The sequence below is a fragment of the Homo sapiens genome, chromosome 6, assembly GCF_000001405.40.
Source record: "Homo sapiens chromosome 6, GRCh38.p14 Primary Assembly".
NCBI lineage: Eukaryota > Metazoa > Chordata > Mammalia > Primates > Hominidae > Homo > Homo sapiens.
The window spans coordinates 6,871,318-6,898,863 of NC_000006.12; the positions used below are offsets into that span (position 1 = coordinate 6,871,318).

Sequence of the window (27,546 nt, forward strand, 5' to 3'; positions counted from 1 at the left end):
CAACCTCCAGAGTATCTGGGACTACAGGCACACCCCACCATGCCCAGCTTTACTAAATGTTTTGTTTAGTCCAAGCATAGTCCAAAATATTATGTTTACATTTATATTATAAAGTTACATGGTTCTATCTAGCTGCGAAGAATCCTGGGAAATGGTTTCGGTTGTGTGCCCAACTGAAAGTCAGCACGTTACTGTATTGAAAGGAGAATGTTGAGGTAGGAACCTAGCTGTTTCTGCCTCAGCTACCATTTATGACTGCTAGGGCTGGGCCTTATACCAAGCTCCTCGTGCACACCACTGAAGCTTTTTGTATCACATTCTCAAAGTGCAGCAGGACCTGAGAAAATTTCAAGTGAATACAAACGAGCACCTTAAAAACATTTTAAGAGTCATGCATTTATTTTAATATGCAAGAAAAAAGAGTACAGCGAACACGTAGTTTCACAGAGATTTTTGCTTGGGACTAGGCTAAGGTAGATCATGCCAGTTTAAGTTGAAAAGTTATTAAATTCCAGAAAAATATGAAGAAATAGTATAAATGACATGAGAAGATGGCAAAAATTCTAAAGGGGACGTCAGCTGCCTGAGATTAGGGAAACACTCAGATTTGGTGTAGTTTCCCTCAGTTTCCAGAGGAAGAAACTGAGGCTCCAGGGGAGTGACACAACTTGCCCCAGCTCACAGGTAGGTTTGATAACATTGTTCTTGAACAATGATTAATATCTAATATTGGCTGGGCATGGTGGCTCATGCTTGTACTCCTAGCACTTTGAGAGGCCTAGGTGGAAGGATCACTTGAGCCGACGTGTTTGAGATCAGCCTGGGCAACATGGCAAAACCCTGTCTCTACAAAAAATATAAAAAATTAGCCAGGCATGGTGGAGTGTGCCTGTAATCCCAGCTACTTGGGAGGCTGAGGTGGGAGGATCACCTGAGCCCAGGAGGTGGAGGCTGCAGTGAGGCGAGAGATCACACCACTGCACTCCAGCCTGGGCAGAGTGAGACCCTGTCTCAAATATATGTAAATATAAATCCCTAATATTACATTTGAGAGTAACTATAATGCACCTTCCAGTACTTTTGGTAAAATCCTTTTTTTATACAGATATAAGGCTTAGATATAATCTCTTTTCTATACATATAAACGTAATATTATAATTTCTATAAATACAGTTAAAGGCCCAATTTAATAATTAATACTTTTGGACAGCTCTATGGGATGTTTCCAGGAAACCCGATGTCTCTACAGATAATACCTAACAATAGCTACCAGCTAACAAGAGACCTTTTGATGTCCTCTAGGGCTGGATTTCACCACACACAATGGTGATATTTAGTAAGCATTTCCTAAAAATTAGAACAAATTCTAGGAAATGGAGGACAAACTGGTGAAACTCAGTACATTAGTAACAGCCAGTGACAAGGGTCTAAGGGGAACAATACAAATTTTAGTGCTGTAAATGAGAGGTTCTCGTGTACCTCTATGCAAATTTGTGCCAAAATATATGTAAATTTATGCCAAAAAAAGTCTCAACCCCTGGGGTAGGGGAATATACATATGTGCATATGTATATTTTCTTTTTTAACCAGACTGTAATTCTGTTGTTTGTCATGGTTTCCTGGTATGTGGCCTCACCAGCATGCCCTTCACAGAGAGCTAATTCAAACATCAGCAAGATCCAGCATCTGAAGCCACCAGTAGGGTCTGAGTGACCAGGAGACCACAGGCTGTTGGAGGTCTCAGAAACTCTGGACAAGGTCCCTGGCAGTGAAGCCTCTAAACTCAGAGATGAGTAACAAAGCAAGGTCGCAGAATCAATCAGCTGTGTCTGTGAGCTTCTTTAAAAGCAGCCTTCTATCTGTCCAGGTTGTTTGTGGGCCATTCTGTTGGGAGGAGACAAAGGGATGAGATAAGCGTTCAAGGTTCCTTGGCCTCCAAGAGTGGCTGAAGCCTCCAGATAGACTTGCCCGTCACTGGGATAGATATGCTACCAGGGTACCCCCTGGCGGGTAGAGGAAGGTGATGTGGTGGGGGTAAGGGTGGGACAGAGAAAGAGGCGAATATTTCTGTTTCCAGTTAACACTTTGTGTCTACTATATCATTATAGAAAAAAAAAATGCAGACTTAAAACAGCCTAAACTAATTACGAGTGGGGAATTTGTAAAATGATATGATGCTGCATGGCCTCTGAATAGTGCCCTGCTGTATTTCTCCATGTGACAAGTTATAAATAAAGCCCAAACCTAACCATCAAACTTGAAGAAAAAGTGGGGAAGAGAAAAGCTGCTGTTCATCTCTAAAACCCACCCCTGTGCACATGCAAAACAGATGAGTTCAGAGAGCCCCAACTCAACATCATCTCTTCATAATGCAAATCTGAAAATGGCTTCCAGATGGAATCCGAGATACATAGCTTATCATTATATCAGGGAGCAGGCCCACTTTTGACCACATCCAAATGAACCACTGATCCACAGCGTCTATGCATGGGCAAGTTTGGCTTTTTCAGTTTGCCTGGAACATTCTTAGACCTGCCACTGTGGTTCCTGGGCTCTCCCCTGGGTTCATTGCTGAGATGACATTGACCAATAATGGGACCAGGCAATGTTTCAGGCAGGCCCATGACAACCCCTAACCTCCTCAGTCCCGTGGCAACATCCCTCCTGCTCACCTTCCTCATTTTATTTTTTCCGGGCTGGCCAAATGGGACATGCAATGACATCAAAACATGACGGGGTCTCCCGAGGGTTAGGCTTCCTCCCTTCCTCTCCAAGCCTGAAACTGCAGTACACTCTGTGTGGTGGTAGCCTCGGCTGGTAAGTAGAGCTGAAAATGTAAGAGGGTGAGTATTGGAAAGCATGTAAGTTAGGATTAGATTTGGCTGCAAGTGACAGAAGGTCCAAAATGACAGTGGCCTAAACAATACAGGCATTTATCGACCTCTCAAATGAAACCACACTGGAGGTAGACAGTCCATGGTTCATAAGGAGGCTTCACAAAGTGTCAGGGACTCTTTCCAAGTTGTTTCTCCAATTTTCTTAGCACAGGGCCTCCAGAGCTTGTCCAAGACAGCTGCTTAAATTCTACTTAATAGCATCGTGTCCATATTCCAGCCACTGATGCGGCAGATTGTTTTTAATAATGGTCCTCCAATGAATCACGCCTCCTTGTTTTAAAGCCCTTTGCAATGTCAATGACACTGTCTATTCTTCCATCAAGATGTGGGGTCTAGTTCCTCACCCTTGAATCCAGTTTGGCCAGTAGAATTTGACAGAAGTGGCGTTGTATAAATTACAGAGCCTAGTCCTTAAGCAATCTTGAAGCTTCCTCTCTCTCCCTCTTGAAACCCTGAGGCTGCCATGTTGTGATAAGGTGCATGTGGCTTTGGGAGAAGGAGACACTTCCCAGAGAAGAACTGAGGAGCCCCCGCTGGCAGACATGTGGATGAGGCCATCTTAGATCCAACAGCAGCTGGGATATCAGGCAAGACTGGCGTGAGAAACCTCCCAGATTTCCCAGCTACAGAATCACAAAAAGTAATAAATTATAGTGCTTTTAGCCACTAATTATAGAAGTGACTTGGTACACAACAACAGATAACTGAAAGCAAGCAACTAGCAGGAGAGGCAAAGAAAAGACAAAAAGCACTGTCTTTTAAGCAGCTCTCCCTTTGGCTGTCATGTAACATGGCTGTTGATATCTTTGGGGCTACAATCCGCTGCGAGGGAAATACAATCTTTCTCCTCGGCAGCCTGGTGCCCAGTTACCACCAAGGGCATGGAGGACTAAGAAAAAGCCGACATTAGGTTACGCAGCTGTCACTTAATGAGAGAGGGGGAGGATTAGGAAACAACAAATATACAGCACTTTCCCATGAATAGCAAAGATGTTAAGTTAGAAAGAGCTGTGGCCGGGCGCGGTGGCTCACGCCTGTAATTCCAGCACTTTGGGAGGCCGAGGCGGGTGGATCACCTGAGGTCAGGAGTTCGAGACCAGACTGGCCAACATGGTGAAACCCTGTCTCTACCAATAATACAAAAATTAGCTGAGTGTGGTGGTGCACTTCTGTAATCCTAGCTACTTGGGAGGCTGAGTCAGGAGAATGGCTTGAACCTGGGAAGCAGAGGTTGCAGTGAGCCAAGATTGCACCACTGCACTCCAGCCTGGCAACACAGCAAGACTCCATCTCAAAAAAAAAAAAAAAAAAGAGAGAGAGAGAGAGAAAGAAAGGAAAGAAAGAAAGAGGTGTAACCATCTTTTCCTTTTTTTTTTTTTAATTTTAAAACTTTTTTTTAAATAGAGACAAGGTCTCGCTATGTTGCCTAGGCTATCTTTGAACTCTTGGCCTCAAGGAATCCTCCCTCCTCAGCCTCACAAAATGCTGGGATTACAGGAATGAGCTACTGTGCCTGGCCTTTATCATTATTATATTATTATGATAGTTTTTTTAAATCTTTTCCCTCTTAAACTTGAATTCTCCCAGCTCATAATAAGAGAAGGTAAATGAGAACACCTCCCAAAAATATGCTACCCTTCTGAGATATAAAAATAACTAAGATTTACCAGCCTGAGGAAGGAAGAGGGGAAGAAAGCTATAACTGACCTGTGGAGGTCAAGGGCGCTGGTGATGGGACCAGCCTCCTCAGTCTACAGTGAAATCACACAGGCACTTAAGTGACTCATAAGGAAGCATCTCTGAACTGTAGTCTGGTAGACTCTGAAATGAGGCAACAAGTGGTATTATTGGAATCCTTCTCTTGCTCGTTAAAACTCTGATGAATTCTCAGCTGTCTTTAAGGGTTTGGATTTCATTCATAGTGCACGAGAGAGTGAACTGGAAGAACTCTAGAGGACTCTTCAAGTCCTTCACTTCCATGAAATAGAAAAGGCCTTTTGCTGTGTGTTTGTGCAGGACTCCCACGTGCCTGGCACACTCCTGGGCCCTCGGGGGAAATAGGAAAGAAGGATATGACAAAGTACCTGCCCTCAAAGAGCTTACAATCTATAGAAAGCAATTTCTATGGCCCCTCAGTACACAAGCCCCAGGGAAGTTTCTGGGAGCTGCTGAACAGTTTTCTCCAATTCTGCTGCATATAGGTGAGTTGTGATCATGGGTGAGGCTCTCCCCTTAATTAAGAAATGCCAGCCAAGGCCAGGAACAGTGGCTCACGCCTGTAATCCCAGCACTCTGGGAGTCCAAGGCAGAAGGATCGCTTGAGGCTGGCCTGGGCAACATAATCAGTCCTCATCTCTATTAAAAGAAAAGTCCCGAGGATATATGTAAATTTTAAGAACTTTTTTTATCTTAAAAAGGGAAAATGAGAAAAAGAAAAAAAAAAGAGAGAAATGCCTTCCCTCTTCATGATTCTTCTTTACTCTTATAATCTTCCAACTCACTGGGCACCCCCTAACTTTGGGTTCTTGAAGACTTTCCGGGAGGCACAGCTTGGCTAGTCTTAAGAGAATCAACTTGCAGATTCTCATCTTCCACGTGCACTCTTTCTTAAGGCGGTTGGACTGAGAAGGTGCCCCAGAGTTCCTTCATGATAGCCTGTCTCCCACTTTAGACAAGAGAGGCCCCCTTTCTGCTCTCCCATGTCTGATTCCAATTCATCATTCCATGATGGGGAAACTCCAGGGCAGCAAACAAAAGGGAAGCCCCCTTTGATGATAACAGCGCCATCAACTCAGAGTGTTCTGGAGATTTCCCTGGCATTATATATTTGCTTGTTTATTTGTTAAAGGAACACCCATTATTAAAATTTGGGTATTTGGGAATAGTCTAAATTCAGTTATATGGTAGAGGGAAGTGAAAAACAGCTTTTCATCCACAAAGTCACCTCTTATTCTTCCTAATTGCGTGTGTGTGTGTGTGTCTGTGTGTGTTTGTGTGATACAGACAGAGACAGAGAGAGAGAAAGGAAGGGAGGAAGAAAGAAAACTTATCACTCACTAGGGTTAGTATTATGATAGCAAATTAAGGGAAACTTTTGTAAGAATTATTGAATGCTAAAAAAGACTCTTTCCTCACTTTTTTAAATATAAAAAATTCTTTGCAGCTCTTCTTAAAACTCATCCTTAGGAGGTGTCATTAGCTGCAAAGAAAAGCACATTCAAATAAAGCCTGATATTTACTAATGCTGGTCATTTTTACCATAACTCAATTTTTTTCACAACTTCTAAAATTTTCAAGATACATTAGCTAAAGCCCCAGATTAAAGATTCATGTGATTTCTTGAAAAAATGCTCATCATCACTGGTTATCAGAGAAATGCAAATCAAAACCACAATGAGATACCATCTCACACCAGTTAGAATGGCGATCATTAAAAAGTCAGGAAACAACAGATGCTGGAGAGGATGTGGAGAAAAAGGAACACTTTTACATTGTTGGTGGGAGTGTAAATTAATTCAACCATTGTGGAAGACAGTGTGGTGATTTCTCAAGGATCTAGAACTAGAAACACCATTTGACCCAGCGATCCCATTAGTGGGTATATACCCAAAGGATTATAAATCATGCTGCTATAAAGACACATGCACACGTATGTTTATTGCAGCACTATTCACAATAGCAAAGACTTGGAACCAACCCAAATGTCCATCAATGATAGATTGGATAAAGAAAATGTGGCACATATACACCACGGAATACTATGCAGCCATAAAAAAGGATGAGTTCATGTCCTTTGCAGGAACATGGATGAAGCTGGAAACCATCATTCTGAGCAAACTATCACAAGGACAGGAAACCAAACACTGCATGTTCTCACTCATAGGTGGGAATTGAACAATGAGAACACTTGGACACAGGGAGGGGAATATCACACACTGGGGCCTGTCGTGGGGTGCGGGGCTGGGGCAGGGATAGCATTAGGAGAAATACCCAATGTAAATGACGAGTTAATGGGTGCAGCAAACCAGCATGGCCCATGTATACCTATGTAACAAACCTGCACGTTGTGCATATGTACCCTAGAGCTTAAAGTATAATAATAAAAAAAAATTCATGTGATTTCTTTCAGATTTGATATGTTGTTGAATAGGATAATTATCAAATTATAACATTAAAACCTAATTCTGAGGTGGGCGGATCATTTGAGGTCAGGAGTTTGAGACCAGCCTAACCAACATGGTGAAACCCCATCTCTACTAAAAATACAAAATAATTAGCGGGGCATGGTGGTGCATGCCTGTAGTCCCAGTTACTCAGGAGGCTGAGGCAGGAAAATCGCTTGCACCCAGGAGGCGGAGGTTGCAGTGAGCCGAGATCACGCCACTGCACTGCAGCCTAGGCGACAGAGTGAGACTCCATCTCAAACAAACAAAAAAAAACTTGTTCCACTTAGAGTTACCCTTTATCTTACTTTATATTCTCTAAGGTCACTGATATCTTTCCAGTCTTCCTGAAAATACAAGCAAATACTGACACAGATGCTATTTTCTTACACAAAATATAACCAGCTATATATACTCAATGCTTTTTGCTTTTGTCTCTTCACGGCATTTTCTGGAAAGCTTGCCAGGTCTGTGCACAGACAGCAGCCCTGCTCCTTTGCCCTGCTGTGTAGTATTCATGTGTGGGATGTTCACGGATTACCCAGTCCTCTAAAGACGACACTTGGGTTGCTTCCAGGCTTCTGCTCCTACAAGAGATGCTGCCGTGAATAACTGCTCACGTACATCCTTCCATACGTGTGCAGACGCCTCTGGAGGATCAGTTCCCAGAAGCACCACCCCACCTTTTATTGCTAGCAAACTGTTAATCACCCACTGACACCCATGGCTCAGAGAGCCAGACATGAGAAGAGGCATGTCCAGAGAGGCACAGGAAATGCAGCTGCATCTGCCTTCTTTACTCAACTGTGAGCATCTTAGGAGTCTGGACCCCTTCTTATCTAACTTTGTATCCCCATGAATAACTCAATAAATAAACAAATGAACAGATGGTATTCAAACTTAGGCTTCTTTAGAAACTGAGAAAGACAACCTCTAAGCAGAGAAGGCTACTCTTTCTCTAGGTACTGATTAGTGCTTACTGCTATGAAGTTTATGTTTCTACACAATCTAAGAACTCATAACCAGAACAGGGAAGTTATTGAGAACACAGAGCAAACCCCAGCGACCCATTTTTCTAGACACAGTTCATTCCTCAACCCCATGCCTTACAGCAGATTGTCTGAAGAAAATACCTTGGCTGCCTATGCATAAACTGCATTTTGACTACTCTTAACATGGTTTCTTTTTGTGTTCTGGGACATTAATGGAAGTCATCAAATGAAAACAAAATAAGGGGAAACATATTTGGTAAAACCCTATAGTTTTGGAGAGGCAGAGTATGAGGAAAACTCTTTAGTATGGAGAGGCAGAGTATGAGGAAATGAAAGTGTAAATGGTTTGCCAAGAGGTGCAGTGACTCACGCCTGTAATCCCAGCACTTTGGGAGGCCAAGGTGGGTGGATCACTTGAGGTCAGGAGTTCGAGATCAGCCTGGCCAACATGGTGAAACCTCGTCTCTACTAAAAACACAAAAATTAGCTTGGCACGGTGACAGGCGCATGTAATCCCAACAACTGGGAAGGCTGAGGTAGAAGAATCGCTTGAACCCAGGAGGCAGAGGTTGCAGTGAGCCAAGATTGTGCCACTGCACTCCAGCCTGGGCAATAGTGTGAAAGTCTGTTTTAAGAAAAAGAAAATGTGGATGGTGCCTACATGATGATCGTCGCTAACATGTATCAAATCTTTGCTATGTATAGACCACTGTTCTATGTCTTTAAATAAATATATTCTCTCATTTAATCTGCTCCTCCAAAAACAAAAAACAAAAAAACAAAAAAACCCAGCCAAACAAAAACTACACAGTTGTTACTATTATTATTCCCAGTTTCTCAGTTTGGAAACTGAAGCACAGAAATGTTAAGAAACTTGTCTAAAGACACACAGCACTTAGCAAGTAGTGGAGTTTGGATTTGAAGCCAAGCAATGCTGTTTCTTCTCGTGTGTGTGTGTGTGTGTGTGTGTGTGTGTGTGTGTGTGTATTTACTTTCCATGGTACATTAGGTAGAAATGGGTTCATTTGTAAGTTTCAGAAAAACCCAAAAATAACTATAGCTTGTCAGAAATGCAAGTTTGTAGCCAGGCACAGTGGCTCACGCTTGTAATCCCAGCACTTTGGGAGGCCAAGGTGGGCAGATCACAAGGTCAGAAGTTTGAGACCAGCCTGGCCAACACAGTGAAACCCCGTCTCTACTAAAAATACAAAAATTAGTTGGGCATGGTGGTGTGCGCCTGTAGTCCTAGCTACTTGGGAGGCTGAAGCAGGAGAATTGCTTGAGCCTGGGAGGCAGAGGTTGCAGTGAGCTGAGATCGTGACACTGCACTCCTGCCTGGGTGACAGAGTGAGACTCCATCTCAAAAAAAAAAAAATAAAAATAAAAAGAAATGCAAGTTTATATAGCTTTCACATAAATAGTAACGGTCAGCAGTCCAGGGTTGCAATACTGGCCAAGATCGTCAGGAACCCAGGCTTCTTATCAACACAGAGCTTCTACCTCATGGCCCAAAATGGCTACTGAGCTCCAGCTACCACATCCACATTCTAGCCCGCAGCAAGTAGGAAAGAGAAATAAGGACACACCCCCTCTCTTTAATACTACTTCCCAGAAGTTGAACATGATACTTCTGCTTTTAGTCCATTAGCCGTAGCTTTCCCCTTGACCATGCCTAGATCCAAGTGAGACCGAGGAAAGAAGCCTTTGCCCTTGAAAGGTATGCTAAAATTGTGGGTTATCATTACTGATGAAGCAGTGAAGAACGGGTATTAAAGAGTAACTAGCACAGTCGGCCATACAGTAGTAGAGGAGATGCATTCACGGAACCCCAGTGTGAAAAGGCATTTTGAAGAACTCCAGTGCTTATCTGATGCTTAAGTCAATTCCACAGCATTCCTCCCTACCGATTGTCCTCCCCTCCCTACTAAAAAAAGAGAGAGGCTTGAAGCAACCCGTCTGATGTCTGGACATTGCTTCCATCAGTTGAGCTGATATCCAGTTGGTCCTATTTCATCCCCTTGAGGGCATTCACATTAACTCTCAAATCTAAGTTCTCTCAGACCTAAGAATTCAGAACTAATAATATTTGGAGACATTTATCAAGTCCCACCCCTAGACTCCTCTTCTCCAAATAACCACCCACTGTGCTCTCAAATACCCCTCCCTGTCATCCTCCCAGTGTGCTCACAGCTCTCTGAAGGTGTCCTACCTGGAATCCTGGGAGTGGGTTTACACAGAGGCAGCTTACAGCTCTCAGATAAGATGCATCTATTCACCTACATCTACAGTGGCTTCTCAGAGAGCTTTAAGACTTTTGACAGTTGCTTCACACTTTTAACTCAGAGTGTTTGACACCTACCAAAGCTACAAATCCCCCCAGTGGCCGTTTTTACTGTTGATTTGGGGCTCTGATGCAGAACCTGACATCTCCCTATCTTACCTTCTCCAGTTGATGAGGCCTCTTTATAGGCCTGAACCTATAAAGATAGTTGTAAATCCTGAGTCCATCCATCAACAAACCCTCTGTTCCTCCTACCTCCATCTGCAAGTTTGGTAATAACTCTATGACTTCATCCAGCAGAAGACTGTGAAGGGCAGGGTCACCCCTGAAATCCTCCCTCCGGGTGACATTGATTAATTAAGCAGCTGCTCTGTGGCAACAGTGAAAACTGGTTTGGATGTATGTTGCTGCCATAGTGACATCCAAGCAAGCAGCTAAGAACCCCGAGGCCTTAGCTGTTGGCAGCATTTTCTACCAGAGCTTTCCTTCCACAGGGAGAAGATTCCCAGAGCCCTTAGGAGCCAGGATCTGGCGGTTGGGAGATAGCAGTCATTCATGCATGCATGCATTCATTCATTCATTGTTCATTTGTTAAATATATATTGAGGTCTTCTAAAGCTAGATGTGCTATGTCCTGAGAATAAAGGTGAACAAGACACAGTGCCTCCCCTCAAGGAGCTTGTCAGTCTAATGGAGAGTAAAATTGCAGACAGAAGGACTCTGTGGAAAGCTCCAGACAGGTCATGTCACTCCTCTGCTCAATACTCTACAATGGCTCCCATGCTCCTCAGAGTAAAGGTCAAGGTCCTTCCCACAGCCCCGTGGGACCTGGCCACCCCATAGCATTTATCCATCCTCCTGCTCTTTTCCTCCTTTTCTCCTCTCTAGCCACACTGGCCTCATTTCTCCTGTCTTCAGGACTTTGTACCATACCTTTAGATGCCATGCCATACCATACCATACCATACCATACCATACCATACCATACCATACCATACCTCACCATACCATACCTCTAGACGCTCTTCCCCAAATAGCTAGATTGCTCACTCCCTCCCATCCTGCAAGTCTTTCCCCAAAAGAGGCCTTCTCAGGGAGGCCTTGTCTAGCCACCCCATCTAAAATGTCAACACCCCCAGTATTTCATATCCTCTTCCTGATTTATTTCTTCTTCTCAAGACATCTTCCTCTCTAATATTCTCTACCCTACCTCCTAATCTTGCTTAATTTCTATCTCTGCCCACCAGCATGCAAGCCTCCGAGAGCAGCAGGGAGCTTTGGATTATTTTGGTTTTGTTTTGTTTTTTTGTATTTAGAGCAATTAGTGACTAATACAATATATAGAAGAGGGGGGAAGAGAGGAAGGAAGGAAGGAAAGAAGGAAGGAAGCAAATGAAATTTTCAATATAACCTGGCACCATGGAAGCACACAGAAAAGCCTCCTAGCCCAGCCTTGGGAAGCCAACAGGCTTTCCTGAGAACTGTAGAATGAGTCAGAGTTGGCCAGGTAAGGAGCAGACAGAAAGGTAATTCCAGGAAGAGGAAGCAGCACACACCAATGGCCACACCTGCAGGGAGACCTAGGTGCCGTGGGAACTCGGTGGCTGGAAGCTGCATACAGCTGAACGTGGCACAGTGGCGAAAGGAGGGCGGGGGCTGAGTGGAAGAATCCTGCAGACCATGAGAAGGTGTTTAGAATCCATCAAGAGAGCAGAAGGAGGCAGCGGAGCAAGCAGCCAAGTGCCATAACCAGATTTTCCCTTTACAAAGGCCAGAGTGAGGAAAATAGATGGGAGGAGAACAAGACTGGAGGCATAGACATCAGTTAGGAAGATGTTTCACTCACTCCACTGAAAGACGCTAATGGATGAATTAGGGCAGGAGTCAGCAAATATTTTCTGTAAAGGGCCAGATAACAAATATCTGGGGCATCTTCGGCTCTGTCTTTTTAGCAAGAAAAGAAGCCATGGGCCGGAGCAGTGGCGTAGGCCTGTAATCCCAGCAATTTGGGAGGCTGTGGTGGGAGAATCACTTGAGCCCAGGAATTCGAGACCAGCCTGGGCAACAAAGCGAGGCCCCATCTCTACAAAAAAATTTGAAAACTAGCCAGATGTGGTAGTACATGCCTGTAGTCCCAGCTACTCAGGAGGCTGAGGTGGGAGGACAGCTTGAGCCCAGGAGTTCGAGGCTGCAGTGAGCTGTGGTTGTACCACTACACTCCAGCCTGGGCAACAGAGTGAGACCCTGTCTCAAAAAGAAAAGAAAACAATAAAGAAATCAGCCATGGGCTGGGCACCATGGCTCACGCCTGTAATCCCAACACCTTGGGAGGCTGTGGCAGGTGGGTCTCTTGAGCCCAGGAGTTTGAGACCAGCTTGGGAAACATGATGAGACACCATCTCTACAAAAAAACAAACAAACAAAAATTGCCAGGCATGGTGGCGCATGCCTGTAGTCCCACCTACTCAGGAAGCTGAAGTAGGAGGATCGCTTGGGACCTGGGAGATTGAGGCTACAGTGAGCCGAGATCGCACCACTGCATTCCAGTCTGGGTGACACAGAGACCCCATCTCAAAAAAGAAATCAGCCTTGGATGGTATACAAATGAATGAACATAGCCATGTTCCAATAAAACTTTATTTACAAACCAGTCAGCAGACAGATCAGGCCTAAGAGCCATAGTTTACTGACTCCTGAATTAGGGGGTAATAAAGAGAAATCCATGTATTGAAAGAATGTTTAAGAGCTACAACTAGTAGAGCTTAGTGATTAATTGGCTTTGGGAAGCAGTCAAGGAGGTACCAGTGGCTGAAACAATCAGCACCCATGCCCATGAGTAGAGGCTGACCGTGAGTCACTCGGAGAATCTCTGTATCTTCCTATTTCCAAGAAATCAGTGAAAAGTTGTGCAACTTTTTTAGTGTAATGTTAAAAAAAATTCTTCTATATGTGGGATAAAATTGTCACAATGCTTAAGAGGATACATAATAAAATCTCAATTTTCTTCTCCCTTGATCCCCGCTTCCCAGTTCCCGGGCTTGCCACCGTGCCACTTTCAACTTCATGCAGCCTCCAAGGGCACCAAGTTTCCATGGCATCCACATCTCCTCCAGGTACAGGAATTGGCTTTCTCTCTGCCTCTTACCTGGCTGACTCTGACTCGTGTGTTCCAGGGAAGAATGGCCTAAATTGCAATGAGGGAGAGAAAAGGATCCCCCTGCAGCCCTTAAGCCCAGGCGGGTCTGGGGCCTGCCTTGAATTGTAGGGATCACACCCCTCTAGGCCTGAGAGCCGCTGAACGGCCCTATTAGTGTTTTCCTGCCCGGAAATGTTTCCCTCCTCCAGCCTCCTCTGCCAGGTCTTCTACAAGGTGCCCTGTACCTTTCCTTTCACCCGACTCCTCCCCAGGTCAGATAAAGCTGGGAGCAGGAGGCTCCTCGAGCCCCACTGAGAATCAGAAAATATCAGGGGGTGCGTGTGTGTGCTGGTGGGGCTGTTGCCAAACTATGCCTGGAGGTGACAGCAGTGATGCCAGGACACGGGGGCCGATCTTGGGTCTTCACAGGGAGGGAGAAGTGCCAAATTCTCCAAAAGTGCGCATCAGGCAGTGAGGTTAAAAATAACAATAAAATAAATTCTAAAATAAATAGGCCAGGCATGGTGGCTCACACTTGTAATCCCAGCACTTTGGGAGCCTGAGGTAGGAGGATCACTTGAGCCCAGGAGTTCATGACCAGCCTAGGCAACAGAGCGACACCCCATCTTTAAAATAACATTACATTAAATTAATAAAACAGAATAAAATCAATTCAAAAAATAAACATAAATTTAAAATTAAATGAAATAAAATGCCAAGTGGCCAGCGGTGGGCCGCAGCGTGTGGGGCAGGCAGGCAGGAGAGTGGCGGGAAGAGGGACTCCTCCTTCTGAGCACAGTCTCCAGAAGTGGCTCCTTGTCAACAATTGTAAAGGTCACATGCTGACGCGACAGTTGCTGAGGCTGTGATGCAAACGCACGCAGGAAGCGTTGTGCAAGCAGGCTCTGGAGACCCGCAGGCTCCTGGGCAGAGGGCTGCCTTCTGTGTGGGCTTGCCCCTCGCCACACCTGGCCAGGAGCCTCCCCCAGCCCCGTGACCCTTGTGTCAGAGCCTGGCCAGATGACAGACGGCCTGGGGTGCAGGCGAGACCCACTGAACTGGCAGCTGAGGACAGGTCCAGGCCCAGTGGCTGGGGGACTTCTCAGAGCAGGTACCACAACAGCTACCCAAGGACTCAGGACTTTTCTCCCACAGCCAGACTTGGTGATTGCATGAAGGAGCCCAGCCTCGGATGACCTTTCCCCGTGACAAGGCACTAGGAGAGCACAGACCTCCCCACACAAACAGTAAGTCAGCATGTGGTTAAAAATGTAAATATGCACTACAGAGTTTAAAATATATCAACCGAAGGAGTAAAACCAGACTGTCTGCTTGTCTTGGATTCATTTTGTGCTGTACAAGGCTCAAAAGGAACCCAAATTCTGGCTAAAGAGGCCTTTTATGGGAGGCCCCGCCTTGACGGTGACAGGTTGAGACCTATTGCAAACCCGTGGTGGCCTCACCCACCAATTTCCTCTGCAGCTTCTTCCCCCTCCATGCTCCAGGCTGGCCAGCAAGCAGGCCGGGGGCCAGGGGCACACTAGCTCCAGGCGTGACAGCCAGATGCTTCCTGCACCACCAGGCCTGCTCCGAGGCTGCATCCCAGAAGCCACTCCAGGCAGGCAGGGTTTCTTCCCAACATCTTGGGAAACAGAACTTACACATTACCCCCAGCACACACACAGTACCTAGAACACTCTGGCTTCAATGCCACGCCCATCTCTGTCTGTGTCTACACTGTTTGGGGTTGATTGATAAGGCCCCAAATGCATTCCCACCAAGAGCTCGTTTTGCAGACTTATCATATCACACCACGCCAGGGGCACGTGCACGTTTTAGAACATGGTATCCTAGAGGTGACAGTGCCCTACCCCAGTGTTCATTCTTTATTTGTTCAAACTCCATGTGCATCCAATTGGCTTTCAGTAACACACAAGAGCTCAGGTAACAAGAAGAGAACTGTACCCGGATGATGAACTGGAACATCCACCCTCATCTTCACCTCCTCCACCCCAGGCCATGTGCTTCACAGTCACACAGGGGAGCTTCTGGAATGGACAGTGTTCCTGGTGTTGACTATAGCCGTGGGCCTCTGAGAAGCTGAAGCAGTGTTGGGCGGAGACAGCTTCAGGGTCACCAGGCCCAGCTAGAACTCCAGGCTGACCTCAGGGCAACGTCCAGCATCAAGATGAGCTCCTGGGGCATGAGGCTACGCAAGGCCTGAGACCCCACAGATGGAGGACGCTGGGCCACCTGGTGGGGCTCCTTCAGCAAGAGAGGAAAGCAGGCCAAGGCCAGAGGCAGCTGCTGTCTGAAGATGGGAGGGAGGCGTGCAGGCCTGGCTCCAGCCCACGGTGCGCAGCAAACTCCAGCCTGCTAGACGCAGATGCAATTGGAGCCAAGTGCACCTTGATACCTCCAAGATGTGACCCCTTACCAGACCCTAAACAAACCTTGTTGACAGAGCCAGACCACCCCTATTTGAATCAGCTGCGTGGCCACGTGCCTGTCATTCGGTCTCTCTGTCCCCATTTCTACAATGTAAAACAGGAAAGTGAAACCCATGGGCCAGCGGCCGCATGCAGGAAAGCTGGCACTGTCAGCCATGGCTGTGGTGACTCCCTGGGCCTTAAGCGAGCAAAGAGCCCACACACCCAAATTCAGCACCTTCTTTCCTGTTCTCCTTTGAAGGAAACACTCTTCATATAAAAAGACAGGAAAAGAAACTCGAGACTTTTTCTTCTTTTGGGAGGGTCTCCAATTTAGAATCAGCATATCAATATTCTCTCTAAACCAATGCTTCTATTAAGGCAGAGTAAATGGGAAGAGAAATTCCACGGCCTGCATCTAGCTTGTCACTGCAAAGTGATTCACACAAACACACACTCACACTTTCACACACACGTGCACCTCTGATTGAAGCATTGCTGCTGAACTGATGAGACACCACTATGTAACCTCTGTTTTTCAATTAAGTGCAAAAAGCCAATTCTTAATCTATGCCATAAACTTAAGTACAAGTGTAGTTGAAAGCAATGATGCCACAAAAGACCAGGTCACAGACTGACTGGGGGCTGCGCTCAACTTGTAAGCCTCTTGCCTCACTCCTCTGGCAGCTACAAGTGCTAGAAAATGTCAAATCTGCATTATTCACTTGTTAATACTGACTAAGCAGTCAAATATACTGCCACACTGTGTGACACTCCAAAAGCCACAAGGATGTACTCACCCTTAGAGCATTAACATAAAACTTAATTAAGAACGCCTTGGGGCCGGGTGTGGTGGCTCACACCTGTAATCCCAGCACTTTGGGAGGCTGAGGCTGGCAGATTATGAGGTCAGGAGATGGAGACCATCCTGGCTAACACGGTGAAACCCCATCTCTACTAAAAATACAAAAAAAATTAGCCAGGAGTGGTGGCACATGCCTGTAGTCCCAGCTACTCGGGAGGCTGAGGCAGGAGAATGGCATGAACCTGGGAGGCGGAGCTTACAGTGAGTCGAGATCACACCACTGCACCCCAGCCTGGGTGACACAGCGAGACTCCATCTCCAAAAAAAACAAAAACAAAAACAAACCTTGGCCAGGCATGGTGGCTCACGCCTGTAATCCCAGCACGTTAGGAGGCCGAGGCAGGCGGATCACGAGGTCAGGAGTTCGAGACCAGCCTGGTAAACATGGTGAAACTGCATCTCTACTAAAAATACAACAACAACAAAAAATTAGCTGGACATGGTGGTGGGTGTCTGTAATCCCAGCTACTCGGGAGGTTGAGGCAGGAGAATCATTTGAACCCAGGAGGTGGATGTTGCAGTGAGCCTAGATCACACCATTGCACTCCAGCCTGGGAGACAGGGCGAGACTCCGTCTCAAAAAAAAAAAAAGAATGCATTAAAAGCAAGAAAATTTTGACACATGCTACAACATGGATGGACCTTGAGAACATTATGCTAAGATAAGCCAGACACAAAAGGACAGATACTGAATGATTCTGCTTACAGGGGATACCTAGAGTCACCACATTCGTAGAAACAAAGTAGAAGTGTGGTCATCAGGGGCTGGAAGGAGAAGGGAAAAGGGACTTGGTGTTCAATTGGCACAAAGCTCCAGTCTTGCAAAATGAAAAGAGTTCTGGAGATGGATGGTGGTGGTGGTAGCAAGACCATGTGAACGTGCTTAATGCTGCTAAACTGCCAGTGCTCATGCCTGCAGTCCCAGCAACTGGGGAGGCTGAGGTGGGAGGATCACTTAAGTGCAGGAGGCCAAGGCTGCAGTGAGCTGTGAGCGTGCCACTGCACTTGAGCCAGTAAGACTCTGTCTCTAAAAAAAACAAACTGCTACACTGTACACTTAAAAATGGTTAAGATAGTAAGTGGGGTTTTTTTAAATTTTATTTTTGAGAAGGAGTGTCACCCAGGCTGGAATGCAGTGGCGCAATCTTGGCTCACTGCAACCTCCGCCTCCCAGGTTCAAGGGGTTCTCCTGCCTCAGCCTCCCAAGTAGCTGGGATTACAGGCATGCGCCACCACACCCAGCTAATTTTTGTATTTTTAGTAGCGACAGGGTTTCGCCATGTTGGCCAGGCTGGTCTCGAACTCCTGACCTCAGGTGATCCACCCGCCTCGGCCTCCCAAAGTGCTGGGATTACAGGTGTGAGACACTGCGCCCGGCCAGTAAGTTTTACGTTATATGCACTTTACCATAGTTTTTAAAAGAGAAAATAAATTAGAACAATAATCCCATAAAGTTAAAAGAGGTCAGTAGCGCAGCATGGACCAGGAGATCCTGGGAGTTGTGAAAGTCAGGGAAAGCTCCCTGGAAGAAGGGGAGCTCATGTGGTTGTCCACATCCCCCATCATAAGCCAAGAAGAACTGCCTACCAAAGTGTGAAGGCTGTCCTTAAACCCAATGATGTCTATGGTAATGGAGGGCCAGGCCTCAACTATCAAGGAAGCTGCATCACCAACGTTTGTCCATCACCAAGGCATAGCATGGTATGGCCAGCGTGATCACATGACCCATATTCTGAGACCAGACTGAGAGTGAAGGGCACTGTTGATAATTACAGTGGACAACAGCATATGGTCTCCTGGGGTATAGCAGGAACAGCCCAGGCTTGGGACTCAGGCAGACCTGGTTTCGAATCCTAGCTTAGGCACATACTTGGGCACATTGCTTTCTGCCTCAGAGCCTCAGTTTCCCCTCCTGTAACGTTTCTATCTCGTGAGGTTATTGTGAGTAACAAAAATAAGATGAGAAAAACTTCCAGTCCAGGGCCTGAGAAGTCCTAAATATTACAAGCCTGTAATCTCTTATCTGCAATTCTGGGAAACTAGGGTTCAGAGAGAGGAAAATTGAGGTTTTTATTGTGCACCCTGTTATCTATTATGAATTTCTTACCCTACTTATAAATTTTTTAAGATTAAACCAAAAGTGCCCCCCACCCGACAAGGAAGCACAGCCACAGGAGTCTCTAAGTTACCCTGGGAGAGCTGGGTCCTGTCCCACTGCTAATGCAATTCACACAGGCAGGTCCAGGGGCTTCTCCCAGTTTCAGGCTCCTCGTGTGTACCACAGACGTGCCTTCAGAGATTCCAGCTACAGATCAGTTGGGAAAACAGTGCCCAGCCTAGGTCTTCAGCAGAGGGGATGGAACATGGGGAACTGGTTGCAAAGACGTTGGAGTTGCTGAAAAGTCAAACAGGGGCAGTGAGGCAACCCAGAAAGAAATAACAGGAAGAAGTTTAGAAGTTTCTACCCACTCTGGGCTTGGAAAGGGGATGTTATCTGAACCTGAATCCTGCACTATCTGGTAGGAATTGGAAGGATGGAGGGAAGGGCCACCCAGCCACAGAGGACCAGTGCCAAGGACCCTGACCAGGCTGCAGAGAGACAGAGAAACGCCCTGAATCTCCCGTCCGCTAGCCCTTCGGTTTATCTTCACTGACTCCCTGGGTGGAGGCCAGCCAGAAGCCAGGAGCAAGGGGACCTGGGAAATGTAGTTCTCAGAAGACAGAGCCCTGCAGTCCAAAGCAGAGCAGGGCAATCCAGGAAAACGACCACCACAGTGCAGCCACAGCAGCTGGGGTCGTCCCCCACTCAGAAGGGATCTTTCCACTTTTGTTTGGCATTTCTGCTTCCCTGGTATTTCCATTTTAGATGCCCCATATGCAAACTAATTAAATTCAAAGTTTCATAGAAGAGAAACTTTTTAATTAGCCTGGAAATCTCACACTTGGGGCCTGTCCATCACTTCTGAATCCCCCAAGCAGATTTGCGTCCTCTGACTCCCCTCGCCAGACTGAGCATCTCACAGCCAACACCTGCTCTGCAAGGCAGGCTGTGCTAGGCAGGTGTGCCATGCTGGGGACACAGAGAGAGCTGGATTCCACCTGGCTGCTGGGGGAGGAGGCAGCGGCACAACAGGTTCCCACATCACCTGGAGAGCAGGCGCATTACTTCCTCCAGCAGGGCTGGGCTTCCAGGTACAAGAGACCAGAGGTCACTGTGGTCCAATGGGCTGAGCCGTAGATTAGGAACTCAATTGTTCTTTGTTTAAATCCAGCTGAGACACCCAACCTTGCGTGACCTTGAGCCAAACACAACTCTTAGGATGTAACCTGCTTTACAAGATGAGAAAGACACGAGTAAAAACATCAGCAGACTCTGGAAGGTAAATGAACAATCCTGATAACACCCAGCCCTTCCCCCGAGGCGGGCTTTTAAGCATGATCTTGCTTGTCCTTGAAATCATCCCTGTGAAGGCAGGGAGAGGGAGGACCATTATCTCCATCTTACAGAGAGAGAAACCAGGCACTGAAAATAGACAGCAACCCACACAGCGGGTCATGCTGGCATTAGACTCAAGGCCACATGAGTGTTGGCCCTGACCTGTTTCTTCTGCCCCATGGAGGACCAGTTATTTCCTTAGCCCAGGGGCCCCAGTGACTGAAGGAAGGTCTGGAGGGAGACACTGTTTTTAGGTCTAAAAAGGGGAGAGGAAACAAGAGAGAAGAAGAAGGAGCAAAAGAAAAAGGGAAGGAGGGAAAGCAGAGATAAAGATGGGACCTGGAAGGGGCAGGGTAGACACTAACAGGTTGCCAGGACTCTTAATGACAGCACATGTGAGAACCTGGCTTGGCAAGCTCGGTTTTACCAGCCTTAAAGGCTTCCATGCCCTTCCATCATCACCCAGCATTACTGGAAATTCACTAGGGTTATACATTCAGAAGAATACACAGCCACTCCCCTTCATTTCTGAGCAGGGGTAGCTCCCATATCCGCCAGCCTTTTTCCTCCCCTCAGGGCCCGGTTTACGACACTTCAAGTTTTGTTCTCTGTTGTCAGGTGCTGTTGTGTAAGGTGGGAGAACAGATACTCCTGTGGGTGTGCTTGAGCTGAAACACATTTATCTAAATCTGAGCAGCAGGTGCTTTCACACACAGGAAGAGTGGTATCTGGTACCTTCCTGTAGGGCTGCGAGGGTCCTTCCCTTTCTGCCCACAGCAGCAGATCTGGGCCCACGTTGAAGACAAGCCCTCACTGCACTTGGGCAGCTATAATTTACCAGGCACGTCAAGGGTTGGGAAAGCTGTGACTAACAAGTCTAGCTTGTGCAAGACTCATCCTCTTACCTCTCTCTCACCATCACATCCCCAGCCCCACTAAAGAGTAGGATTCTGGCTGAGTCTTTGGCTAAGATGACAAATGGCAGCCCCTCTTGTTGAGACATCCTAACTCACACCGCTGGATCCGGAAGATGCACACAAACTCCACTTTTGCTAGCTTGCAGCCCCAAGGGTGTTCCAGAAAGTAGACCTTTATAACAGAACAGCTTCCTGGACTACAGGCATTGCTGTATCACTGCATCCAGGCCATAATTCTGATTGCCCCCTGTAAACCGGGAAACTCACTCCTCAGGATGCCCACCTTGCTGTTTGCCATCATGGAAATGCACTGAAGTGGCTCACCTACATTGTTACAGATAAACCACGGGCCACAGTTGCAGCACTCTTCTCAGGGTGTGGAGGGGAAATGACATCTATTCTTTGATTAATGTTGTCTCTCTCTGTCCCCAGAGTCAGTAAACAAACAAGCTGTCCTTGGAGCAAGCAAGCGCTTCCCTTTCGGCATCTCCCCCTCTCTGAGCGGCAGCCCTGCAAGTGAGGCCAATAGCCGTCCCTCAGCTGTGTACAGGACAGGCATTCTTGGACCTCAGAGTCCTGCAGTAGCATTTTGAGGACGCCAAGTTATTGATGGGGACAGGTGCTCATAATTCAGCATAACCCACCCAAGCCGTGTTTCACTTTTTCTGGAAACCTCTTGATTTAGGAATGAAAGCCCCTGGCTCCCCCTGGGCTGGGCTGGCCAGTAAACATCTCAGTCTGAGTTTGCCGAGGTGGGTTGCTAAATTTAATTGCCAGTTTCCACACCATGTGATGGTGTGTGACAGGCCAGCTCACCCTGTGAGTTAGCCAAGGGGTTTTAAATAAATGCTTTCTGACGGAAAGGATGATAAAGGTTCCTATTATTCACCAGTGAGCCTGGAGACTGAGCTGGTCCGGTTTTTACGACTGAGGCACAGCAATGTCAATCTCATGCTCTCTGTCACTACTTCCCACTGTGGCTTGACTAGGACAGCCTTAAGCGGCCTGCAGAAAGAGCTCCAGCCGGGTAGTCAGGAGACCTTTGCCAGCCCGATCCGTCCAAGGTTTCTGTGACCTTGGAAGGCAAATAGCTCTATGGGCCAGCGTCAGCCTCTGCGTCTGCAGAGAGGAGTGCTTCACAGGTCATGCTTGGGGCTTTCAGGAAGCATGTAATAGATATGCAAAGGCATTGCTGTTGGTGAAACATCCGTGGAACACCAGGCAACAAACCACTAAAAGCAGCATTTTTCTTGCTCCGATCCTTTAAAATATCGATGGAGATAAACTGATGCTGCTATTTGTGTTTTCCTTGACTATTTCCTTACGAAGCCCTGCAGTCACCGAATGCTCACTCAACCTTCCTTCAAAAGTGATTCAACGTGTGGCCTGAGAAGCGGCAGCATCAGCCTCACCTGGGCGTTGGTGAGAACGGCAGCATCTTGGCCTCTCCTGCTGAATCAGAGCGCGCTGCTTAACACGCTCCCGGGTGACTCGTACGTAGTCAGTGCTGGGAAGCGCTGGTCTACAGTCATGTTTCTCAAGCTTGAATGCACATCCGAATCCCCCGGAAGGTTTGCTAAAGCCTTGCTGGGCCCCACCCCCACGTTTCTGATTCAGCAGGTGTGGGTCGGGGTCTGCGAACTTGCATTTTTAGAAAGTTTTCTGGTGATGGTGATGCCTCTGGTCCAGGACCACACTTTGAGAACTTCTGGTCTTTCTTGAGCAGCTGTTTAGTGATACCTTCATTCCCACGTCACTAAGGGTGCATAACGTCTCTTCGTTATGTACTCTGGCTTCCTCAATCCCTGGAATTACTGTGGTATCCTCGTGATATATCTTCATTTCTTCCTCTTTAATCATCCTTGATCTCCCCCTTGATTTCAATATGTGTTTATCTCTCTTTCATTAGGAAGCTCTAGACACAGAAAACCAGACAGCTCGGTGCTGTGCAAAAATGGGAGGATTTCATGAAAATCCTACTTTTTTCTCCCATGTAGTTGTTTTAAAATTCCACTTGTTTTTTGTTTGTTTGTTTGAGATGGAGTCTCTCTCTGTCGCCCAGGCTGGAGTGCAGTGGCGCACTCTCCGCTCACTGCAACCTCCACATCCCGGGTTCAAGCAACTCCCCTGCCTCAGCTTCCTGAGTAGCTGGGATTACAAGCGCCCGCCACACGCCCAGCTAATTTTTGCATTTTTAGTAGAGATGGAGTTTTGCCATGTTGGCCAGGCTGATCTCAAACTCCTGACCTCGGGTGATCCACCCACCTTGGCCTCCGAAAATACTGGGATTCTAGGCGTGAGCCACTGCGCCCAGCCCAAATTCCACTTGTTTCTTTTTTTCAGCCAGAGTTATACACTGCTGGCCCATAAGGAACTTGTTACGATGTGACTACTACAGAATAACCAAATCGATTTGCTGCAGTACAATTTTTTTTATTTTTAAACCGCACAAGCAATATAGTGACACATTGGATTAAAGCAATCAACACTGGGCCGGGCACAGTGACTCACGCCTATAATCCCAGCACTTTGAGACACCGAGGCGGGTGGTTCGCATGAGCCCAGGAGTTTGAGACCAGCCTGGGCAACATGGAAAAACCCCATCTCTACAATAAAATACAAAAATTAGCCTGGTGTGGTGGCGTGCACCTGTGGTCTCAGCTACTCGGGAGGTTGAGGCTGGAGGATTGCTTAAACCCGTGAGGCGGAAGTTGCAGTGAACTGAATTTGCACCACTGCACTCCAGCCTAGGTGACAGAGCAAGACCCTGTCTCCAGAAAAAAAATAAACACTGAAGAATAATGAACTAAACCTTTATGCCCCACACCCCCCCCATCTCCTAGTCCACGCTCCTCCTCAGAGTTAATAAACATTGGCAGCTAGGTGTGTGTCTTCCATGCCTTTCTATATGCATATATATACCTACACATTTACATGCAGAAATATGTTTTGGATTTAAAAAAAATTACAAGTACTGTTAATAAAACTTCCTTTTATTAATAAACAATATTTTTCAGAGATGATTTCAAATCAATAAATAGACTACATTCTTTTTAAGGCTGCATGGCAGCCAGGTACAGTGGCTCAGTGCCTTGGGAGGCTGGGGCTGGAGGATTGACGCCAGGAGTTTGAGACCAGCCTGGTCAACATAGAGAGACCCTATCTTTACAAAAAATAAAAAAAATTTACCAGGTATGGTTGTGCATGCCTACAGTCCCAGCTACTCACGAGGCTAAGACGGGAGGATTGCTTGAGCCTAGGGGTTTGAGGTTGCAGTGAGCCATGACCACACCACTGCACTCCAGCATGGGCAACAGAGTGGGAACTTGTGTCTAAAAATAATAATAATAATAATAAATACATACATTTTTTAAAAATGCCTGTCACAGGAAATGTAAGGAGAAAAGAGAAAAGGCTGTATGGCTATATTTTAAGTTATGGACATACTACAATTTATTTAGCCATTCCCCTGTTGATGGCCACTTACATTATTGCCAATAGTTTACCATTACCAACAATATTAAATTAGCACTGTCACGAGATTCAGCTAAGAAGTTGGCCTCCAAAAAGTCTGTATCAATTTACATTACTGCCCCTCACAATGAACATGCTTATTTTACATGGAATCAACACAAATGCCCATCAATGACAGATTGGATAAAGAAAAGGTGATACACATACACCATGGAATACTATGCAGCCATGAAAAGAATGAGATCATGTATTTTGCGGGAACACGGATGGAGCTGGAGGCTGTTATCCTCAGCAAACTAATGCAGGATCAGAAAACCAAATACTGCATGTTCTCACTTATAAATGGGAGCCAAATGATAAGAACTTATGAACACACAGAAGGAAACAACAGACAATGGGGTCTCCTTGATGGGGGAGAGTAAGAGGAGGGAGAGAAGCAGAAAAGATAACTATGGGATACTGGGCTTAATACCCAGGTGATGAAATCATCTATACAACAAACATTCCTGACATTTGTTTACTATGTAACAAACCCTCACATGTACCCCAGAACCTAAAATAAAAGTTTAAAAAATTAAATTAAACAACAAAAAAAGAAAGTGCTTATTTTAACCTTCTCACCAATACTGGCAATTACCAGTCTTTCACGTCTTTACCAATATATTGAGGCTATCTCATTCTCTAAACTTGGTTTTATCTGAAGACTGCTTGAGGTTAAACATTTCTCCATAAGATTATCAGCCATTTTATTTCCCTTTCTCTAATTACTCATTCAGATCCTCTGTCCTTTCTCTATTGGCTTGTTGGTTTTTTCTGTTTTTTTTTTGTTTGTTTGTTTTTGGTTTTCTTTTGCAGTAGGGAACACAGGAGCAATAGTCTGGGTATTAATCTTTGGTCTATTAAAAAAAAAGTCATAAAGTTTTATCCAAGTCTCTCACTTGACTTTTAATAGCATGCTTTATTTTATCTTTTGTTGTATAAAACTTCTAGTTTTCATATAGTCCATAATACGATTTCAGTTGAATTCATGCATTGCTAGAAATCACCTTCTAGAAATCTGCATTATATGGAGGAGAAACAGTCTCTTGGATGTGAATGAAAAGAACTTAATAGAGGAAGTTGTAAATAAAACTTAGTAGGGAAATAATGAATTAATTCAGGCCCACATTCCCTTTTCTTCTTTCTAGCTCCTGTATCTTTTGGCATGAAGTTTTGGTTTGGTAGGAGGTTTATAAAAATAAGTGCGCTGGTTTAGGTGATTTAAAGATTTGTATGGAAGAGTTGAAATGAAGTCAAAGGTGGCTGCTAACAGGAGGCAGGAGTCTCTCTTCTTTCTGATTCTCTTGCATGCAGAAGCACTAACTCTGCTCCAAACTTTGCAAGGATGTTTGCATAGAGAACGGCCTTTGAAGACAGAGATAGTGCTTTCCTCTGGAGCAAAGGGCTGGTTTGTTTGCTGTCCAGTATAATAAAGATAATGTCTTCCCCAGGCAAAGGTTGGCAGGTTTACTTACCGCCCTTAATAAAAGATTGGGGTTTCCTAAACTCAGGGCTCCTCTCCTGTAACACACCCTGTATGTGGAATTGACACCTGGCCCTGCTTGCCTGCCCTGTGAAACTGGGGTTTGGGGAACCAGCACAAGAAAATGGTGGTACTCAGGCTACTGCTATTGCTGTGAGTAGTAAACTGTCCTTTATCTCTAAACCAGGAGTCTTGTGTCTTCTGCCAGCATCTTGAAACTGTGGCAGGCTCACTTGCTAACTTTGAAAATAGGGTAAAATCTCAGAACCTTCACAGTTCCTGACAGTCACCACATAATGGAAGGTTAAAACACTTAAACTCTGCTCTTGTTCCAGTCAAATTTAACCCTCTGCCTACAATACAAAAGTCACATTCTTCTCTTAAACTGAACAGTCCTTAAATGGTTAGGGAAAAGAGAAATTCACTGTAAGAATTTTTTATATCTTGTATATAATTCCTGCAAGTCTAATATTTCAAAAGGTGTTCATGTGGGTGAAGTAGATTTACTCTGTTCATTTCTCTGGAGAAATGAACTTACAGACTGAAAATTTTCAGCTCAATAAATAAAGAAAAACGAATTTTAACAATTAGAGTTATCCCAAAGAGAATAAAGTTTGAGGTCACAAGCTCACTGCTGGCCTAGGTGACCACTAGGTCCCATAGGACTTCTAATGGGGCAGGGATTAGACTGGATGATTACAAAGCTCTCTTCAAATGGAAGATGCTAGTGGGGAGGGTGTTGTTTCAGTGGACGCTCTAATCAGATGTCTTCTCATACCACATAATGAAGCAGGCGAGCTGGTGGATTCAACTGGGACTCAGAAGACTGCACTTGAGGAGATCATCGTGAGTTGAAGATCTCTTGCTTAGTCTCGCAGAAACTTCATCAAGTCTAGCTCACCTGGGAGTCAGTTGGTGCCGGCGAATCAATTCGTGCCAGTGAAATTCACCAAGAGCCTGATTTACAAACTAGAGAGCCATGGCCTTAATTTTAGAGCAAAAGACAAACTTTTCCAATGAATATAGTTTTCTTGTCCAATAGCTAGGACACCCCCCTCCACCTGCTGTGTACTAATGAAGCAGATTTTTTTTTTTGAGTTTTGCTCTTGTTGCCCGGCTGGAGTGCAATGACACCATCTTGGCTCACCACAACCTCCACCTCCGGTTTCAAGTGATTCTCCTGCCTCAGCCTCCCAAGTAGCTGGGATTACAGGCATGTGCCACCATGCCTGGCTAATTTTGTATTTTTAGTAGAGACGGGGTTTCTCCATGTTGGCCAGACAGGTCTCGAACTCCCAACCTCAGGTGATCCACCCGCTTTGGCCACCCAAAGTACTGGGATTACAGGCGTGAGCCACAGCGCCCGGCCAATGAAGCAGAATTTTTAGCCAGATGTGTGTGATACACCAAACCAAAGTGAAAGGAATTGAATGA

The 27,546-nt window shown here is 45.8% G+C and overlaps 2 long non-coding RNA genes across 4 annotated transcripts, besides 1 other annotated feature; one reads left to right on the top strand and one right to left on the bottom strand.

Annotated features, from left to right (window-relative positions):
• Positions 1-376: 376 nt before the first annotated feature.
• On the bottom strand, positions 377-19,037 carry LOC105374903 (uncharacterized). The gene is made up of 3 exons (XR_926431.3): positions 18,953-19,037; positions 2,673-2,827; positions 377-1,884 (listed from the first exon to the last, which is right to left on the bottom strand). It is a non-coding gene; the product is annotated as an uncharacterized LOC105374903 (long non-coding RNA).
• Positions 14,356-27,251, top strand: LINC03055 (long intergenic non-protein coding RNA 3055). 3 transcript variants are annotated; one of them, XR_926428.2, is made up of 3 exons: positions 14,356-14,716; positions 20,036-20,143; positions 26,903-27,251. It is a non-coding gene; the product is annotated as a long intergenic non-protein coding RNA 3055 (long non-coding RNA). The 3 variants fall into 3 exon arrangements; XR_926430.2 differs by having other exon boundaries at positions 26,906-27,251; XR_926429.3 differs by lacking the exon at positions 26,903-27,251 and adding an exon at positions 21,549-23,148.
• Positions 15,787-16,422: an enhancer, noted in NCBI's record as "H3K27ac-H3K4me1 hESC enhancer chr6:6887337-6887972 (GRCh37/hg19 assembly coordinates)". NCBI's record gives its function as "activates a minimal SCP1, AML or CMV promoter by ChIP-STARR-seq in naive H9 embryonic stem cells {active_cell/tissue: H9 hESC(naive)}" and the evidence as "EXISTENCE:reporter gene assay evidence [ECO:0000049][PMID:30033119]".
• Positions 27,252-27,546: the final 295 nt, after the last annotated feature.